This window comes from Homo sapiens, chromosome 21 (assembly GCF_000001405.40).
Source record: "Homo sapiens chromosome 21, GRCh38.p14 Primary Assembly".
Lineage (NCBI taxonomy): Eukaryota > Metazoa > Chordata > Mammalia > Primates > Hominidae > Homo > Homo sapiens.
Window position 1 is genome coordinate 35,263,525 of NC_000021.9, and position 16,166 is coordinate 35,279,690.

At 40.1% G+C, this 16,166-nt stretch overlaps 1 annotated feature.

Moving 5' to 3' along the window:
• Positions 10,643-11,144: an enhancer, noted in NCBI's record as "H3K4me1 hESC enhancer chr21:36646465-36646966 (GRCh37/hg19 assembly coordinates)". NCBI's record gives its function as "activates a minimal SCP1, AML or CMV promoter by ChIP-STARR-seq in naive H9 embryonic stem cells {active_cell/tissue: H9 hESC(naive)}" and the evidence as "EXISTENCE:reporter gene assay evidence [ECO:0000049][PMID:30033119]".

Below are 16,166 nucleotides of genomic sequence, written 5' to 3' on the forward strand. Positions count from 1 at the left end.
AGAGTTAATGTATAGCTTCCCTGAGTTAGGGGTGGTTTCTCTGGCCTATATAGAAGATTTTTAAATGGGCTGCTATTGCTCCTTCCTTCTTTACATTCTTAACTTGGGCTGTTGACATTAACATGTTGTAAGAGAAATCAACAGAAGCCAGTTTAGAGGTTTTAGAAATTATGTCTTTGATGTCTAAGAAAAGCATCTCAAACTATTTAAAATATTATATTGTGTTTTTTTATTGAGATATAAAATCTACCACAGAAATAAGCCACTGAACCCACAAAAGGTGCGTCAATTTCTGTAGAGATGTTTTAGGAAGAATATGATCAAATGTAAGACATGACAATAAAACAGCGTGTGCACAACACTTCTCATCTTCAAAGTATTTTACAAGCATTGCCTTGTTAATGCTCATGGCTCATCACTGAGATGGCAGGTGTGTGCTATTTATCCCATTCCATAGGTGACAAACCCAAGAAAGGTGAATGGGTCACCTGATGGAGTGGTATCAGATACTGCTGATACCATGGGCATTGGGGTTGACACAGCATTGAGTGTCCAGATGTCCCTTCTGTGACCAGGAAGATTGTCCAGATGTCCTCATTGTGACCAGGAAGATTGTCCAGATGTCCTTATTGTGACCAGGGAGAGACTGTCCTGCTTTTTGAAAGCACCCAGTGCCCTAGCTTCCCTCTTCAGCCTTCTTCTTCCACTGTTCATTTCTACTTGGGCTTGGAAATCCCACTCATTCCCAGAGCTCAACTATTCTCCATGTGTTGGTACTCCAACATTTAACTTGCTCTAGATCTCAAGTGCAAGAGCTATATTTCCACCTCTTGATTGTGTTACTTCCTCCGTTCTGTCAGCCTTCCCCAAAAGTCATTTTCTCCACAATTTAACTCATTGTTTCTCGCAGATCTTGGGATCTATACCTCTGCTAAAGGTACCATCAAATTCCTTGATTCAAAATCTGAGGTTATTTGCAGAATTTCTCTCTTCCTCTTCTCTCACAGGGATATTGTCTTTGCTCTGGCCATGACCAAGAGTGTGATTTCAGGAAAGTTTCTTAACCTTCCTGAGCTTCTGTTTTCTCTTCAGTTTAATAACAACAATAACATGAGGTTACTGTGAGAATTAAAGCACAGAAGAACATCTAGCACATACTACTCAACAGGTGGTAACTAATTACCGCTCAAGTATCCCACCCTCAATTTTCCTTTTCTTTACTCCAGCCAGTAGCCTGGTTCAGATCATCTTTCCTTCTATAACAGACAATTTTTAATCACTTGTTGTTATGGACTGACTGCTGTGTCCCCATAAAATTCCTATGTTGGAGCTCTCTAACTCTCAATGTGACTATTTGGAGATGAGTTTTTGTTTTTTTTTTTTTTTTTGAGACAGAGTCTCGCTATTCCGCCCAGGCCGGACTGCAGTGGCACTATATCAGCTCACTGCAAGCTCTGCCTCCCGGGTTCATGCCATTCTCCTGCCTCAACCTCCCGAGTAGCTGGGACTACAGGCGCCCGCCACCATGCCCAGCTAATTTTTTTTTTTTTTTGTATTTTTAGTAGAGATGGGGTTTTACCATGTTAACCAGGATGGTCTCGATCTCCTGACCTGGTGATCTGCCTGCCTCGGCCTCCCAAAGTACTGGGATTACAGGCATGAGCCACCGTGCCCAGTTGGGATGAGGTTTTTAAGGAAGTAATTAAGGTTAAAGGAGGTCATAAGGATGAGCAATAATCCAATAGCGTCATTACAAGAAAAGGAAGAGATGCCAGAGATGATCTCTCTCTGCATGCATGCACTGAGGAAAAGCCAAGTGAGCACCAATGAGAAGGCAGCCGTCTGATAACCAGGAAGAGAGCCCCCACCAGATCCTGCCCATGCTGCCACCCTGATCTTGGATTTCCAGCCTCCAAAATTGTGAGAAACAAATGTCTGCTGTTTAAGCCACTTTGTCAGTGGTATACTGTTATGGCAGCCTGAGAAGACTAAGACACTTCTAAATAGGTGTCTCTTCCTTTATAATTGCCTCTTCAACAGCACTGTAGTCAGCTATGCAGTGTCCATTCCTCCATTCTTCCTAACTGAAACAACTTTTGCAGTAGCAAATGTCTCATTAAAAATAAACAAGCCGAGCATGGTGGCTCACTCCTGTAATCCCAGCACTTTGGCAGGGTGAGGTGGGTGAGTCACCTGAGGTCAGGAGTTCAAGACAAGCCTGGTCAACGTAGTGAAACCACGTCTCTACTAAAACTACAAAAATTAGCTGGGCATGGTGGTGCGTGCCTGTGATCCCAGCTACTCAGGAGGCTGAGGCGGGAGAATTGCTTGAACCTGGGAGGCAGTGGTTGCAGTGAGCTGAGATCGCGCCACTGCACTCCAGCCTGGGAGACACAGTCAGACTCTATCTCAAACATAAATAAATAAATAAACACTTCCCCACAATTCCTTGCATTCTCATCCAGTCTAGCCAATGATTTTAAGCAGGCATCTGGGGGAAGGCATGTCTGTTAAAACTATTGCTTTTCTCATAACAAGTGTGATATTCCATTAACATACGAGTTTGAACTTTGCCCTTCCCCCTTCTTGCCTGAAACTCTGATGCGCTGTTGGGAGGTAGAGCAGCCCTCTCGAAACCTGAGGACTGAAGCATCCACTAAGTGAACAAGGTGGACTCAAGTCCTTGATATTTTCTCTGACTGTTGTGCCCATCCTAGAATGCCAACCTTGACTTCTTGTTTCATTTGAAAAATAAACTATTTGGCTTTAGTGGTGTTCTGTTGGATGCAGATATTACAATCTTAACTGGGAGAGCTTCCAAACTGTTCTCCATGTTACCACCAGAAAAAAAAAAAAAAAGGCAAGTGACATCTCCATTAGGTCATGCTCCTACCCAAACGCTTCCACTGGCATCTCATTGTATATGAAATAAAGTCCAAACCCTGAAGACAACATGAGAATTACTTGCCATCAGCCTCTCTCCTTTCCTGCCTTGCCTCCTCCACCCCAGCTTCCATTCTCTGCTATACCATCTTTGAAAAACCACCTGTTCACCCCAGACACACCCAGCACCTCCTCACCTTCTTGCCTTTGCTCTCTGCCTATAAAGCCTCCCTACATCCATCTGCCAAGACATGACTTGTTTTGCAAGTGCCAGCTCAAATGTAGCCTTCCCCTGAGGCAGCAGTGTTTCTTCTTATAAGGAATCTCTTGCATCTTGGGGCTTCCATGGTACTTTGCTTCCAGCAAAATCCCAGACTCTTTCACATTCTGCTGAGAGTTAGTATGAATGACATTGCCGACTGTTGAGGCAGCGTGGTTGTGAGTCAGAGTTCAGGAGCCTCCATGCCCAGCCTGGATCACCCCTAACAGCATGAGGGGCTTAGTACTAATTCCTCGAAGGCTCTTTCTCTCTTTTTAGAAACTCTGTAAATTGGGGTAATGATGGTACCTACTGCCTAACAAGCATTGTTGCAATAATTAAAAGAAAATATGCGTGTAAAGTGCTTACAAAGTGACTGCTACATAGCAACTTAATTTTTTTTATCTTCTTTCCTATCTAGATAAGAATTTTTTTGGTAGCAGTTACTGCCTTATCTGTCTCTCTATAGCCGCTCAGGCTGTAGCATGATGCTGAGTATATGGGAGCCACACAATAACTATTTACTGGGTTAAACCAGTCAATATTTTAAAATTCCCATTCAAATTCTGTTTTGCACAATGATGCATGGAATTAGACACTAAAATATTCAAGCTACACTTAGGTGTCATTTTTTATTTTTATTTTTTGAGTGGAGTTTTGCTCTTTTTGCCCAGGCTGGAGTGCAATGGCGCCATCTTGGCTCACTGCAACCTCCGCCTCCCGGGTTCAAGTGATTCTCCTGCCTCAGCCTCCTGAGTAGCTGGGATTGCAGGCACTCACCACCACAGCTGGCTAATTTTGTATTTTTAGTAGACACAGGGTTTCACCATGTTGGCCGGGCTGGTTTCAAACTCCTTACCTCAGGTGATCTGCCCACCTTGGCCTCCCAAAGTGCTGGGATTACAGGCATGAGCCACCACGCCCGGCCTATGTGTCTTCAAGATCTTTGAACTTACATGAATTTGTGAAGTTCTCATTAGAACTCCTTTATCCTTTTCTCCATATGCTCTTTTTATCTGTTAATTTATTTATTTTTTTTGTTAACCCATGCATTATTTTGTTTGTTTCTTAAAGCAAATCTTTGCAATAGGTACCTAAAGAAGTAAACCACTGTATAGTCAATAGAGATTTCAGGTGCTGAGAGATGGACTTGTCCTAAGGGGGTTAGAGGCAACAGGGGTTTATGCCCCATGGTAAGGATTCCCTGTCTACTGTTCTTTTCATTAAACAAAGTCCCATGGCAAGAATAACCCCTCCAAGCCTACAAGCCCCAGGAGATATTCCCAACAATGAAAACATGCTCAAGGCATTTTGGGTGATGAGGTACAATCAGGAAATTGACAATGCTGGGTCAATGCAGTGAGTCTTAGCTATGGGATCAGATGGACTTGGGTTCGATTCGCCCAGGGGTTGGTACACTGCCTCTGTGCACCGATATGTGAAATGGGGATCTTGATAATCATGTGATAGATTGTCTTAAAGGTCAAAGTAAGCAATATATGTGATGTACATCACATTGCATTGTGGATGCTTGGTAAATTTTATTTCCCCACCCCTTCACAAGCTTGATAATTAGCACACGTTCATCCAAAAGAAAGAGACAGAGATTTCTTATAAAAAATTGAGTCACATTATTATGGAGGCTGGTAAGTCCAAAATCTGCAAAATGGGCCCATTGGAGATTCAAGAAAACCGATTGCACAGAGGAAGCCTGAAGGTCATCTACAGGAAAATTCCCTGTTGCTCAGGGAGGCTGGTCTGTTTCTTTTATTCAGACCTTCAACTGATTGGATGAGGCCCACCAAATTACAGAGGGCAATTTGCCTCACTTAAAGTTCAGCAATGTAAATGTTAATCTCATCCCAAGACACCTTCCATGTTGACACATAAAATTAACACAAATACTATCCTAAAAATGCTTGGTGCTTAATGAGGCCAAGAAAATAATTTCAATTTTTTTAGTAAGTTGCTATTACTTGTAACCAATTACTTCTTCAGAATATACATCAGGTGATGCCTTTCTGTAGATGGATTAGAACCAAAATTGTTGTTCACATTACTACTGTGGGTTCTGATAAGGAATAAGCATCATGTTACAAAATTTGAGATATTTGTGACTATCTGTAGAGGGTTCTAGGGAAACCATGAGCCTGCTTGATGCCTTTGTGCAAATTCTTTTTTTTGGCAAATGCTGGCAAGGGCAGTACAGGCTGGATTTTTTCCTTCAGCCATGGTACATGGACAGCTGGTGACCTCAGACCATTTTGTATGGCTTGTGTATTCCACCACACCATGTATATGAACTGTGGCCTTAGAATACCTTTTAGTCTGAATCAGGTCATGTTCTAGTCAAGTTGCAACTTAGTGATGCATCATTTATGTCAAAAAAATATGTCAGCTGTACTGATTCACAAGCCGAGCATAATAAATGAGCATAATAAACGAATGTAAGTAAAATGGAACCTATCCCTGACGTTGGGCAGGTCTTTGCCCTGTTTTTCAATGCATCCTGCCACCTTTCTCAGGAACCCAGTGTACCGTCTTCACCAAAACACCAGGACATCTCATTATTCCTTGTGTCAAAGCAAAATCTCTTACAGGAAATTTAAGTAAATTCATCATTTTATTCTCTTATGAGTGAAAGGAAACAAAATGCTTTTTTTCCACATCATGACTACACTGTAAGTTTTAAGATGTGAAGTAAACAGCAATTTGTGCTTGAGCCTAGATGTAGAACATTTTCTCCATTGGACATCCTTCAGCCTCTTGACCTTTGAAATAAATATCAGAGACAGAACTTCCCCACCCTCTCACAACCATGGTCAGGGTGTGCATGTGAGGAAAGGGGAGAGTTCTAGCAGCAAGAGCCAAACCAGTCCTGGAGATCACACGGTCAGCCCTCACTGTACCCATGCAAACCACCACCAGTAGAAATAATACAACCATACCTACCTCTCACCTGTACAGCACTTCAATTTTCAATAAGCTTAACTCACACTGTCTTCCATAAAGTTCTTGAACACTTATACACCTATACAATCAAACAAAGCAAAACATACCCAAGCATGAGGTAGTCATCATTCACATTTTAGAAATATGAGGACTGTGGCTAAAATAAAAAGGGGATTAAAAGAGAATTTTAGACCAATATCCCTGATGAACATTGAGGCAAAAATCCTCAATAAAATACTGGCAAACCGAATCCAGCAGCACATCAAAAAGCTTATCCACCATGATCAAGTGGGCTTCATCCCTGGGATGCAAGGCTGGTTCAACATATGCAAATCAATAAACGTAATCCAGCATATAAACAGAACCAAAGACCAAAACCACATGATTATCTCAATAGATGCAGAAAAGGCCTTTGACAAAATTCAACAGCCCTTCATGCTAAAAACTCTCAATAAATTAGGTGTTGATGGGACATATCTCAAAATAATAAGAGCTATTTATGACAAACCCACAGCCAATGTCATACTGAATGGGCAAAAACTGGAAGCATTCCCTTTGAAAACTGGCACAAGACAGGGATGCCCTCTCTCACCACTCCTATTCAACATAGTGTTGGAAGCTCTGGCCAGGGCAATCAGGCAGGAGAAAGAAATAAAGGGTATTCAATTAGGAAAAGAGGAAGTCAAATTGTCCCTGTTTGCAGATGACATGATTGTGTATTCAGAAAACCCCATTGTCTCAGCCCAAAATCTCCTTAAGCTGATAAGCAACTTCAGCAAAGTCTCAGGATACAAAATCAATGTGCAAAAATCACAAGCATTCTTATATACCAATAACAGACAAACAGAGAGCCAAATCATGAGTGAACTCCCATTCACAACTGCTTCAAAGAGAATAAAATACCTAGGAATCCAACTTACAAGGGATGTGAAGGACCTCTTCAAGGAGAACTACAAACCACTGCTCAATGAAATAAAAGAGGATACTAACAAATGGAAGAACATTCCATGCTCATGGATAGGAAAAATCAATATCGTGAAAATGGCCATACTGCCCAAGGTAATTTATAGATTCAATGCCATCCCCATCAACCTGCCAATGACTTTCTTCACAGAATTGGAAAGAAACTACTTTAAAGTTCATACGGAATGAAAAAAGAGCCCACATTGCCAAGTCAATCCTAAGCCAAAAGAACAAAGCTGGAGGCATCACGCTATCTGACTTCAAACTATACTACAAGGCTACAGTAACCAAAACAGCATGGTACTGGTACCAAAACAGAGATATAGACCAATGGAACAGAACAGAGCCCTCAGAAATAATACCACACATCTACAACCAACTGATCTTTGACAAACCTGACAAAAACAAGAAATGGGGAAAGGATTTCCTATTTAATAAATGGTGCTGGGAAAACTGGCTAGCCATATGTAGAAAGCTGAAACTGGATTCCTTCCTTACACCTTACACAAAAATTAATTCAAGACGGATTAAAGACTTAAATGTCAGACCTAAAACCTAGAAGAAAACCTAGGCAATGTCATTCAGGACATAGGCATGGGCAAGGACTTCATGTCTAAAACACCAAAAGCAAGGGCAACAAAAGCCAAAATTGACAAATGGGATCTAATTAAACTAAAGAGCTTCTGCACAGCAAAAGAAAGTACCATCAGAGTGATCAAGCAACCTACCGAATGGGAAAATGTTTTGCAATCTACTCATCTGACAAAGGGCTAATATCCAGAATCTACAAAGAACTCAAACAAATTTACAAGAAAAAAAAAAAAAACCCCATCAACAAGTGGGCGAAGGATATGAACAGATACTTCTCAAAAGAAGACATTTATGCAGCCAACAGACACATGTAAAAATGCTCATCATCACTGGCCATCAGAGAAATGCAAATCAAAACCACAATGAGATACCATCTCACACCAGTTAGAAGGGCGATCATTAAAAAGTCAGGTAACAACAGGTGTGGAGAGGATGTGGAGAAACAGGAACACTTTTACACTGTTGGTGGGACTGTAAACTAGTTAAACCATTGTGGAAGACAGTGTGGCAATTCCTCAAGGATCTAGAACTAGAAATACCATTTGACCCAGCCATCCCATTACAGGGTATATACCCAAAGGATTATAAATCATGCTGCTTGCTATAAAGACACATGCACATGTATGTTTACTGCAGCACTATTCACAATAGCAAAGACTTGGAACCAACCTAAATGTCCAGCAATGATAGACTGGATTAAGAAAATGTGGCACATATACACCATGGAATACTATGCAGCCATAAAAAAGGATGAGTTCATGTCCTTTGTAGGGACATGGATGAAGCTGGAAACCATCATTCTCAGCAAACTATCGCAAGGACAAAAAACCAAACACTGCATGTTCTCACTCATAGGTAGGAATTGAACAATGAGAACACCTGGACACAGGAAGGGGAATATCACACACGGGGGCCTGTCATGGGGTGGGGGGAGGGGGGATGGATAGCATTAGGAGAGATACCTCATGTAAGTGACGAGTTAATGGGTGCAGCACACCAACATGGCACATGTATACATATGTAACAAACCTGCACGTTGTGCACATGTACCCTAGAACTTAAAGTATAATAAAAAATAAATAAATAAAAATTTTTAAAGAGGAAGATTTAGTAATTTGCCCACGATCACATCACAAATACGTGGCAGAACTGGGTTTGAAAACAGATCCTCTTCCATCTTGAGCAATCTTTGGTCCAGATTTCACAGCAGCCACAAGAGGAGTGGGGTGGGACTGCACCCTCTTTTCTTATTCACACCTCCTCCTCCATTGAGGCTGCAACATAGTTCATTTTCGCCTGACCACCCCCAGATGCAATGGGTTTGCAGGAAAGAAACACATCATTCAATCAGCTGCCATTTCTCAAAGCCATCTGGAAAGGCTGTGCTGGATTGCACTGAGGTGAAAAGCAAAGCAGTTCTCTCCGATTCCTTCATCCTGCATGGGTCCAGGCACTTCTGTGCCTCCTTTCCTTTCACCTAAAATCCTTCCTGGATTCACAAGAAATGTGTAATCCACGATGGTCCCTCGCTTTGTCTCACACACTAACATCTACATATTTCTGTGGCATCTCATGTTTATTTAGTCTGATGATAATTTTTCATTCTCTTTTTTCTTTTGCTTGGTTCTGTTTGCCTGATGTTTCCATGCCTTGCCTATATGACTTATGGTGAAACTCTCCAGACGTAATTATTTGGTGTAAATATAATGGCTGAAAATTAATATTTATAGCATTTAAGGAGTGTTGTATTTTTGTTGTTAATGATGACGTTGTTTCAAAATTTCAAGACTCTCTTTGGATAATTGATGTATTCATATTTAACATGCAATAATATTGCACAAGTGTATTGGAAAAAGCAAGTGTTGAAATTGTTGGACCAGCTCTTTTTCATTTGACACCTACTCTTTACCCTATTGAACTTCACCTTCTTTGTCTCTGAGCACTTCTAAACTGCAGAAGACACTTGCAACTCTAAATTCACGTTGACTGTTCCACTAAAGCAACAGAAGTGATATCAAGTAGATTCATATATTTTAAAGGCCAAAGAGTATTGGTTCAAAAATTGCTCCTTTTTAAAATATACTCCATATGGCCATGGGTTTCTCAAGTAGACCACAGTTTGATTTAAGAACATTTTTCCCTCTTGAGAAAAACAAAAAACCACACTAACATATCTAGAACATTTTTCCTGCCCTCTCTTTGCACAATACCCCACCTAGTATTATGAGGGATTGTAGGCCTAACTAAATACCCCCAACTTACCTTAAGTACACACCCTCCGAACTCCCCAAACCAGTTAGGCCTTATTGAAAGAGTTTTGCCATTCAAACGCCTTCCCAGTTGTCCTGTCTTAGCCACACCCACAAAACAAATGCAACTGCTCACTCTAGAGCCAGCCGGTGGGCAAATAGAGCTCAGCTTCCAGCCTCTCCCAGGCCAGGCATACATTTGGCCTGAAGCTGTTTTGCTGTTTTGTACAAATGGAAGCCACTCAACTGCTTTTACACCTTATTTTAATGCCTTATTATTTCAAAGGGATCTCTGTTCTTATTGACAATAATTACTGTTAACTCCCCCATCAAGTTCAAAGGTTTCTGTGATTATGAAACTTCTTCTAAAGACTAGCCGATTAATCCAACTTGTTATTAAATTAGAACTATATTCTTGACCTGTTTTAATGGAGGTTTTATTACTGCTTTCCTAATAAGCTTAACTATCACCTTGAAATCACATCAATATTTCTCTAATCTTTATTATCTCTATTAGGAGTCCATGGGCTCACTCGCTATTAGATAGGCATTTAATGTCTACTATAATCTGGCCCTAAATTATCAAATTCATTTCAACTCCCTGATTCCCCCACCTCCGCCCACCTGGTCCCCCCTCCTCCTCAATGCACTTGCATCTTCTTGTCCAACCAAATACAGAGCTTTATACTTTGATGTCTGAACACACGATATGTACATATATCAGCCTCTTTCCTTTACCCTGCAAGCAATGGCCTCTCCCTTCCTTTCTCTGTCCTCTTCCTACCCAGCTCCTCCAGCCTGCCTTGTTCACTCTGCTCTTGCTCACTCTGCCAAGGCCATAGGATCTTGAAAACGCCTATAGCCTCTCCCACCCATGTGGCACTAGTACACAGAGTTTAGCACTAATTTAAGACTTGGTGTTTATCTCTAGCTCCTAAGTTCACAGCTAGAAAACAAACTTCAAGGAAGTGGAGTTTGCTCCTATGTTATTGTGGTTTCAAACTTTGACAAAGGAAAGAATCCCTAGACCTGGAATCTGAAGAGTTGGCAGGCAGTAAATAGTTCTAGCGATTTATCAGCTGTATGGTCCTGCATTTGCCACTTACCCTTCTCTTGGCCTCAGTGTCTCATTCATAAATTGGAGAAAATGCCTTTTCCGACTACCTGACTGCATTGCTGCAAGGAGCAGACGTGTTGCTCAGGCAGAAAACCTTGGAGTTGCTTTGGCTCTCCACTATCTTCTACTCTCAAATCCAAATCATCAGTGAATTCTGCTGGCTCTTCCACCATAGCCTATCTTGGCTGAAACCACTTCTCGCCACCTTCAATTTACCCCCTGGCCCTCACCCTATCCCTTCTCAATTGGATTGTTGAAATACCCTCCTAACTCATCTTCCTGCTTCTACCCTTGAGTGGTGCTCTCTGCAATCTCTTTCATGTGATGTTTCAAAGCCAGTGTCAGAATATCACTGCTCTGCTCAGAACTCTCTAGCACCCTATGGTCTAGCTCGGGATAAAGTGCAAAGTCCTGACAGGGTGCCTCTCAGCCCACCTCCTTCTGCTCTCCCTCTCAACCACCACTCTAGCGATTGCCTCCTCTTGCATCTGGAACATCAGAAGGGCCGAGTTCTGACTTACTTTTGCTTGGCCTGGCATGAACCTCCCCGAGTAGCTGCTCGATTTCCTTTCAGCACCACTCTCTGTGTTTTCAGCCCACTTTGACAGGAGACTCTCTGAATGGCCCCTTGAAAAGCACCTTAACCCACCTATCCCCGAACATGCTTTCTTCCTCTTCAGAGTTCTTATCACCAATGACATAACATGTATTTATGTGCTTATGTCTGTGGTTTCTGTCTGTCTCTGCTAGAACGTTAGCCTCATGAGAGCAGATGCCTTGTTTGGTTTACTGCCATATCCCCAGCATGAGAGTTCCTGGAACATAGTAGGTGCTCAATAAATACCTATAAAATAAATGAACAAGCGAATGAATGAATATAATGGAGTTTATTTGAAACTCTACAGTTTTAATCCACTGTTCTCTACCTTGGTTGTCCATTAAGATCCACTGAGGAATTTTAAAGAATACTGATGTTCAGAACACACCCTAAACCATTTAAATCAAAATCTATTGGACTGAAGCCCAGGTGTTGGTACTTTTAAAAAACTCCCTAGATGTTTCCAATGTATAACCAAGGTTGAGACCTATTGCTCTCGAGCATATAAAACAGTATTTGTTTCTAATTGGATTTGCGTTCCCAGCTAGCACCTTGCTAGCTAAGTGCCTTGTACATTTCAAATACTTCTTGATTGGTTGTTTTTAAAAATGACCACTTTTAATGCATAGAATAGTTTGTGCACTGGGAAAAAAAACCTCAATACTATTTTACTTGGTTAGATTTAGATCGGTATCTTATTTGGGGAATGGAACCACAAGAATTGAGTAGCTATTCTCTGCAAGGTACTCTGCCAGTTACTAAAGATACAAATCCCATTTAATACCATGTAATGACGATAATATTTTTCATATGGTAAACCAATGTAGTTTTTTTATTCCTTGCAAATCATTTTGCCCTGTGGCTCCCCACAGATTGAATCAGAGGCATTTATTGCTTCAGGGGAAGGCAGATACTGCCTAAAACAAAGACAACTTTGTTCAGCTTTGAGGAGCAGACTAGATTTGTTAAGCTCAGACGAGACAACAGTCTTGAAAGCTAAGCTTGTGGAGAGAGAAAAGAATTTGATAAATACTCAAAGCTTCCCTTTAATCATAAATGAGAAAACTTGTGGGAGTGACGAGTAAGTTGTCAAACTTTTTTTTATTTCAGGACACCTTTGCAATATTAAGAATTATTAAGGCCCCAGATAACTTTTGTTGGTTTACAGGGGTTATATATTTATCAGTAGTTACTATATTTATAAATTAAAATTGAGACATGTAAAAATATTTATTAATTCATTCTTATAAGATCAATGTTAAATCCATTACATGTTAACTTAAGGGATACATTTCTGGGAAATAATTACATTGTCCAAAACAATATGTAAGGAGTGACTTTTTAAAAAAAATATTTTTTGGAAATCTCTTCAATGTCTAGTTTGATAGAAAGTTAAATTTTTATATCTGCATCTGCATTCAGTCTGTTTCAATCTGCTGTTTTGGTTGAAGTACATGAAGAAAATCCAGCTTCACACACATATTTATTAATAGTTCAAAAATGCAAGGTATATTAATCGCCATTTCAGATTATTGTGGAATTATTCTTTGAAAAAAATCCTACTTCTTAATGTTTAGTTGCCATATGGAATTTCAAACTATAGCAATGAATTTTCATACTTTGATATATTAAACTTAATTTATCCATCTCATGCTTTGAATAGATCTTTTACTCATGTATGTTTTTGTAACATTATGTATTGGCCACTTGGAAACTATCAGTTCACTAAGTTATGTAGATCTTTCAAATGTTGACACATTTCATTACTCAATATTTTAAAAAATCACATTTGTTAATATCACTATCCATGTCATCAGAAATGTCTGTAAGCACTTGGAAGTAAGTTCACAGGGGTGGAAACAAATTTCTAAAATTCTTATTTTTGTTGAAAATTCAAATTTTATCATTAGCAACAAATGTTCTCAGCTGTTTTTCTTGAAGTGACAGGCTTGCTTTAATCATTTTCAAGAAAATATCTCCATAACACCTACGTTTGAATAACTATAGTTTGTACGTCAGTTATTTTTCAAATAAGAGTGGTGTTTTATGAAAAAGAGGCTAGTTCAGAATACTCACAACTTGCTTCTGCTTCTTCAGACAACCACTGTGGTCCAGTATGTAGCAGAGGTGGTTTATGCATACTTCCTGTCTGGTTATATAAAATATTAAAAAGATGTGTACTCAAGGGATGAGATTTAATAGCATTAATTTTTTTATTGCTTCATGGAGGACATAATTTAATGAAACTGATTTTTTTTAACTGTACATGGATGGCGGAAAAAATGCAGTGACTACTAGTTGTGTTTAACAGCACTGTCTTTTTTTTTTTTTTTTTTTTGAGACAGAGTCTCCCTCTGTCACCTAGGTTGAAGTGTAGTGGTGCAACCTCAGCTCACTGCAACATCCGCCTCCCGGATTCAAGTGATTCTCATGCCTCAGACTCCTGAGTAGCTGGGACTACAGACATGCACCATCACGCCCGGCTAATTTTTGTATTTTTAGTAGAGACGGGGTTTCGCCATGTTGGCCAGGCTGGTCTTGAATTCCTGACCCAAGTGATCTGCCCGCCTCGGCCTCCCAAAGTACTGGGATTACAGGCGTGAGTCACTGAGCCTGGCCTCATACCACTGTCTTGATTGTTGCTATGGTGCTCATAATTTTACACACCAATATTTTTACAACATCAATGAAGAATGTCGACACATTTTTTAAAAGCAAATAATGTCTTTGTATTTATCAAAATCATTTTGTGCCTCATAGACACCCCTGCTAGGGTCTCGGGGATGCCCAGCAGTTGACATGTCACACTTTAAAGACTCCTGCACTAGACTAATCATAGAGGATGTGATATAAAGGAAGCCCCATTTCTTAAAGGTTTCAGGAAGAAGGGAAGCTTCTGGTCCCTTAAGCATGGAATGAAAAGTGGAGAGGATATAACTGGCAGGGTGGAGACATGGGCAGAGGCATGGAGTTTGAAACAACCAGAAAGATTTGAGGGCATGGCTGGGTGCAGTGGATCATGCCAGTAATCCCAGCACTTTGGGAGGCTGAAGTGGGAGGATTGCTTGAGCCCAGGAGTTTGAGATCAGCTGGGTAACATAGTGAGACACCCATTTCTACGACAAATAAAAATAAAAATTAGCATGGTGTCATGGCATACACTTGTAGTTCCAGCTACTTGGGAGGCTAAGGTGAGACGGTTGCTTGAGCCCAGGAGTTTGAGACTGCTGTGAGCTATTATCATGCCACTGCACTCCAGGCTGGGTTGACTTATCTTTTGTGTAAAAAAAATAAGAAAAGATTTGAGAAAAGTTCCCCAAGGAAGGTTTGTTTCTCACTTCCCAGGGTATAGCCCAGAGGAACATTCACCTCCTGAGAATAGCCTGATATTCAGTATGGCATGGGTCCCACATGGTGCTTCCCAAGATGCAGACTGAAAATGACCGGTACATGACACCATACTTAATAGTGAAAGACTGAATTATTTTCTTCTAAGATTGGAAACAAGGAAAGGACATCTACTCTCACCACTCTGATTCAACATAATACTAAAAGTTCTAGGCACTGCAATAAGGCAAGGAAAATTAATAAAATGTATGCAAATTGGAAAGGAAGAAATAAAAACTGTCCCTATTTGCCGATAACATAAATGTCTGAATAGAAAAGCCCAATGAATCTATCAAATAACAACAAAAATTTCCTAGAAGTGAATTAAACAAAGTTGCCAGATACCTAATTAATAGACAAAAATCACTTGTATTTATATCTACTAAGAATGGACATGTGAAAACTGAACTTAAAAACAGTACTATTTATAATCATGCCAGAGAAATTTAAATATTTTGGTTAAATAAACTTAACAAAACATGTATAAGATCTATATGCTAAAAATTACAAGATGCTGATAAAGGAAATCAAACAATGCTTAAATTAATAGAGAGGCATACCATGCTCATGGATTGGAAGAGTCAACATAGTAAATACATCAGTTCTTTCCAGCTTGGCCTATAGATTAGATAAAACTTCTATCAAAATCCCAGCAAGATTTCTGTAGGCACAGATAAGCTTATTTCAAACTTTATATGGAAAGGCACTAGCCCTAGAATAGCAAAAACAATCTTGACCAAAAAATGAATAAAGTGCAAATAATTAGTACTTGCTATTAATAGTTATTAATTCTATATAGCTGTAATATCAAGACAGTGAGGAATAGACAGTGGAACAGAACAGAGAGCCTAGAAATAAACCTACACAAATACGTGCAACTGATTTTTTTTCTCCTAGAAAGTAAATTCCAGTTGTGATAAAGTATGCACAAAAGAACTAAGAACACAGTGAAATACAATAATTTTAATTCTGACCATGAGTGATTTTTAAAAATTAAGTACAAGTCCAGGCATGGTGGCTCAAGCCTGTAATCCCAGCACTTTGAGAGGCTAAGGCAGGCAGATCACGAGGTCAGGAGATCAAGACCATCCTGGCTAACATGGTGAAACCCCATCTCTACTAAAAATACAAAAAATTAGCCAGGCATGGTGGCAGGCACCTGTAGTC